Source organism: Homo sapiens, chromosome 12, assembly GCF_000001405.40.
Source record: "Homo sapiens chromosome 12, GRCh38.p14 Primary Assembly".
Lineage (NCBI taxonomy): Eukaryota > Metazoa > Chordata > Mammalia > Primates > Hominidae > Homo > Homo sapiens.
In genome coordinates this window covers 100,008,757-100,013,900 of record NC_000012.12, presented here as the reverse complement: position 1 = coordinate 100,013,900, position 5,144 = coordinate 100,008,757, and the positions used below count along the sequence as shown (strand labels likewise).

At 43.4% G+C, this 5,144-nt stretch overlaps 1 pseudogene; it reads left to right on the top strand.

Moving 5' to 3' along the window:
* On the top strand, positions 4,010-4,914 carry RPS4XP1 (ribosomal protein S4X pseudogene 1; annotated as a pseudogene).

Sequence of the window (5,144 nt, the reverse complement as noted above, 5' to 3'; positions counted from 1 at the left end):
CAGCTCCTGGATTCATTGATTTTTTGAAGGGTTTTTTGTGTCTCCATCTCCTTCACTTCTACTCTGATCTTAGTTATTTCTTGCCTTCTGCTAGCTTTTGAATGTGTTTGCTCTTGCTTCTCTAGTTTTTTTAATTGTGATGTTAGCGTGTCAATTTTAGATCTTTCCTGCTTTCTCTTGTGGGCATTTAGTGCTATAAATTTCCCTCTACACACTGCTTTAAATGTGTCCCAGAGATTCTGGTATGTTGTGTCTTTGTTCTCATTGGATTCAAAGAACATCTTTATTCCTGCCTTCATTTTGTTATGTACCCAATAGTCATTCAGGAGCAGGTTGTTCAGTTTCCATGTAGTTGAGCGGTTTTGAGTGAGTTTCTTAATCCTGAGTTCTAGTTTGATTGAACTGTGGTCTGAGAGACAATTTGTTATAATTTCTGTTCTTTTACATTTGCTGAGGAGTGCTTTACTTCCAACTTTGTGGCCAATTTTGGAATAAGCGCAATGTGGTGCTGAGAAGGATGTATATTCTGTTGATTTGGAGTGGAGAGTTCTGTAGATGTCTATTAGGTCTGCTTGGTGCAGAGCTGAGTTCAATTCCTGGATATCCTTGTTAACTTTCTGTCTTGTTGATCTGTCTAATGTTGACAGTGGGGTGTTAAAGTCTCCCATCATTATTGTGGGAGTCTAAGTCTCTTCGTAGGTCTCTAAGGACTTTCTTTATGAATCTGGATGCTCCTGTATTGGGTGCATATATATTTAGGATAGTTAGCTCTTCTTGTTGAATTGATCCCTTTACCATTATGTAATGGCCTTCTTTGTCTCTTTTGATCTTTGTTGGTTTAAAGTCTGTTTTATCAGAGACTAGGACTGCAACCCCTGGTTTTTTTTGTTTTCCATTTGCTTGGTAGATCTTCCTCCATCCCTTTATTTTGAGCCTATGTGTGTCTCTGCATGTGAGATGGGTCTCCTGAATACAGCACACTGATAGCTCTTGACTCTTTATCCAGTTTGCCAGTCTGTGTCTTTTAATTGGAGCATTTAGCCCATTCACATTTAAAGTTAATATTGTTATGTGTGAATTTGATCCTGTCATTATGATGTTAGCTGGTTATTTTGCTCGTTAGTTGCTGCAGTTTCAGCATTGGTGGTCTTTACAATTTGGCATGTTTTTGCAGTGGCTGGTACCGGTTGTTCCCTTCCATGTTTAGTGCTTCCTTCAGGAGCTCTTGTAAGGGAAGTCTGGTGGTGGCAAAATCTCTCAGCATTTGTTTGTCTGTAAAGGATTTTATTTCTCTTTCACTTATGAAGCTTAGTTTGGCTGGATATGAAATTCTGGGTTGAAAATTCTTTTCTTTAAGAATGTTGAATATTGGCCCCCACTCTCTTCTGGCTTGTAGAGTTTCTGCCGAGAGATCCGCTGTTAGTCTGATTGGCTTCCCTTTGTGGGTAACCCGACCTTTCTCTCTGGTTGCCATTAACATTTTTTACTTCATTTCAACTTTGGTGAATCTGACAATTATGTGTCTTGGAGTTGCTCTTCTCGAGGAGTATCTTTGTGGCATTCTCAGTATTTCCTGAATTTGAATGTTGGCCTGCCTTGCTAGGTTGGGGAAGTTCTCCTGGATGATATCCTGCAGAGTGTTTTCCAACTTGGTTCCATTCTCCCCGTCACTTTCAGGTACACCAATCAGATGTAGATTTGGTCTTTTCACATAGTCCCATATTTCTTGGAGGCTTTGTTCGTTTCTTTTTAATCTTTTTTCTCTAAACTTCTCTTCTCGCTTCATTTCATTCATTTGATCTTCAATCACTGATACCCTTTCTTCCACTTGATCGAATTGGCTACTGAAGCTTGTGCATGCATCATGTAGTTCTCGTGCCATGGTTTTCAGCTCCATCAGGTCATTTAACATCTTCTCTATGCTGTTTATTCTAGTTAGCCATTTGTCTAATCTTTTTTCAAGGTTTTTAGCTTCTTTGCGATGGGTTCGAACATCCTCCTTTAGCTCAGAGAAGTTTGTTATTACTGATTGTCTGAAGCCTTCTTCTCTCAACTCGTCAAAGTCATTCTCCGTCCAGCTTTGTTCCGTTGCTGGTGAGGAGCTGCGTTCCTTTGGAGGAGAAGAGTTGCTCTGATTTTTAGAATTTTCAGCTTTTCTGCTCTGTTTTCTCCCCATCATTGTGGTTTTATCTACCTTTGGTCTTTGATGATGGTGACGTGCAGATGGGGTTTTGGTGTGGATGTCCTTTCTGTTTGTTAGTTTTCCTTCTAACAGTCAGGCCCCTCAGCTGCAGGTCTGTTGGAGTTTGCTGGAGGTCCACTCCAGACCCTGTTTCCTGGGTATCACCAGCAGAGGCTGCAGAACCGCAAATATTGCAGAACGGCAAATGTTCCTGCCTGATCCTTTCTCTGGAAGCTTCATCTCAGAGGGGCACCTGGCTGTGTGAGGTGTCAGTCGGCCCCTACTGGGAGGTGTCTCGCAGTTAGGCTACTCAGGGGTCAGGGACCCACTTGAGGAGGCAGTCTGTCCGTTCTCAGATCTCAAACTCCATTCTGGGAGAACCACTACTCTCTTCAAAGCTGTCAGACAGGGACATTTAAGTCTTTAGAAGTTTCTGCTGCCTTTTGTTCAGCTATGCCCTGCCTCCAGAGGTGGAGTCTACAGAGGCAGGCAGGCCTCCTTGAGCTGCGGTGGGCTCCACCCAGCAATGGTGGATGCCCCTCCCCCAGCCTCGCTGCCACCTTGCAGTTCGATCTCAGACTGCTGTGCTAGCAGTGAGCGAGGCTCCATGGGCATGGGACCCTCCGAGCCAGGCATGCGGGATATAATCTCCTGGTGTGCCATTTGCTAAGACCGTTGGAAAAGCACAGTGTTAGGGTGGGAGTGTCCCGATTTTCCAGGTACTGTCTGTCATGGCTTCCCTTGGCTAGGAAAGGGAATTCCCCGACCCCTTGTGCTTCCCGGGTGAGACGATGCCCCGCCCTGCTTCAGCTCACACTCCGTGGGCTTCACCCACTGTCCAACAACCCCCAGTGAGATGAACCTGGTACCTCAGCTGGAAATGCAGAAATCACCCGTCTTCTGCATCGCTCGCGCTGGGAGCTGTAGACTGGAGCTGTTCCTATTTGGCCATCTTGGAATGAAGTTTTATTATTTATCCAAGATAAAGGCAAGAGAATTCAGGATATATGGAAGGAGATGGATTTCATCATTTGGCCATATAATACATTTATCATAATTTTATAATTTGACCATGTGTAATTTAACCTGATGTGTTAGTTTCCTAGGGCTTCTATAACAAAGTACCATAAACTTGGTAGCTTAAAACAAAATAAATGGATTGCCTCAGTATTCTGGATGCTATAGGTCTGAGATCAAGATGTTGGCTGGGCTATGCTCTCTCTGAATTTTCTAGCAGAAGATCATTCCTTAACGCCTGCAGGTTCTGGTAACCCCAGGCCTTCCTTAGTTTGTGGTAGCACAATTCTGATCTCTACCTGTATCTTCACATGGCTCTCTCTCTCTCCCTCTGTGTGTGTGTGTGTGTGTGTGTGTGTGTGTGTGTGTGTGTGTGTCTGTCTGTCTGTCTGTCTGTGTCCAGATTTCCCTTTTATAGGGACATGAGTCATATTGGATTAGGGTCCAACCTAATGACCTCATCTTAACTTACATTAACTCAAATTAGAGTTCTTGGTGCCCTTCTCCCATATCCTTTCCCCAGCTGCAACCTGTTAATCTTTTGGTCCTTACCTTTTTAGTAAGTGGCACTACCACCCACACAGCCAAAAGCTTGGCTTCTTTTGATTCTACCATTTCCCTCAACTCATCCTCATACATCTGCAATCCTTCAGCTTGTCTTATTGCATATCTCTACATGTATTTCCAATTTATCAATATCTTTTCGTTTTCACACTCCTGCTCAGTATGAACAACATAATTTCTCACCTTCAGTAGCTTCCTAACTTCCACCCTTGCCTTGCTCTCATCAGTCTTTTTAAAGAGAAACCAAATTTCTACACACACTGGAAGATGGGGGTCCTCTTTCCTTGCTTAATGCAGCCATGACTTGTGATCCCAAGAAGCATCTGAAGTGGGTAGCAGCTCCAAAGCATTGGATGCTGGATAAGTTGACCAGTGTGTTTGATCCTCGTCCATCCACCGGTCCCACAAGTTGAGAGTGTGTCTCTCCCTCATCATCTTCCTAAGGAACAGACTTAAGTATGCCCTGACAGGAGATGAAGTAAAGAAGATTTGCATTCAGCAGTTCATTAAGATCGATGGCAAGGTCCAAACTGATATAACCTACCCTGCTGGGTTCATGGATGTCATCAGCATTGACAAGACGGGAGAGAATTTCCATCTGATCTGTGACACCAAGGGTCGCTTTGCTGTACATCATATTACACCTGAGGAGGCCAAGTACAAGTTGTGCAAAGTGAGAAAAATCTTTGTGGGCACAAAAGGAATCTCTCGTCTTGTGACTCATGATGCTCGCACCATCCACTATCCTGATCCCCTTATCAAGGTGAATGATATCATTCAGATTGATTTGGAGACTGGCAAGATTACTGATTTCACCAAGTTTGACACTGGTAACCTGTGTATGGTGACTGGAAGTGCTAACCTGGGAAGAATTGGTGTGATCACCACAGAGAGAGGCACCGTGGATCTTTTGACGTGGTTCACATGAAAGATGCCAACAGCAACAGGTTTGCCACTCGTCTTTCCAACATTTTTGTTATTGGCAAGGGCAACAAACTGTGAATTTCTTTTTCCTGAGGAAAGGGTACCCACCTCACCATTGTTGAAGAGAGAGACAAAAGACTGGCGGCCAAACAGAGCAGTGGGTGAAATGGTCCCTGGGCGACATGTTAGATCTTTGTATGTAATTAAAAATAATGTGGCATGATTAAAAAAAAAGAGAAAGAAACCAGTATGATCTTCTTAAAATAGAATGAGATATGTGACTACTATACTTAAAACACTAGCAATGTTCAGTCTGCTTAAAATAAAATTCCAAATCCCTAACATGGCACACAAGGCTCGGTGTGATCTGACACCTTCCTAATCTATGTTATGCTTATTTCCGCTCCAGCCTTAAGGAAATGCTCACATCATTCCTTCTGTCTGGCATGCTCTTCTC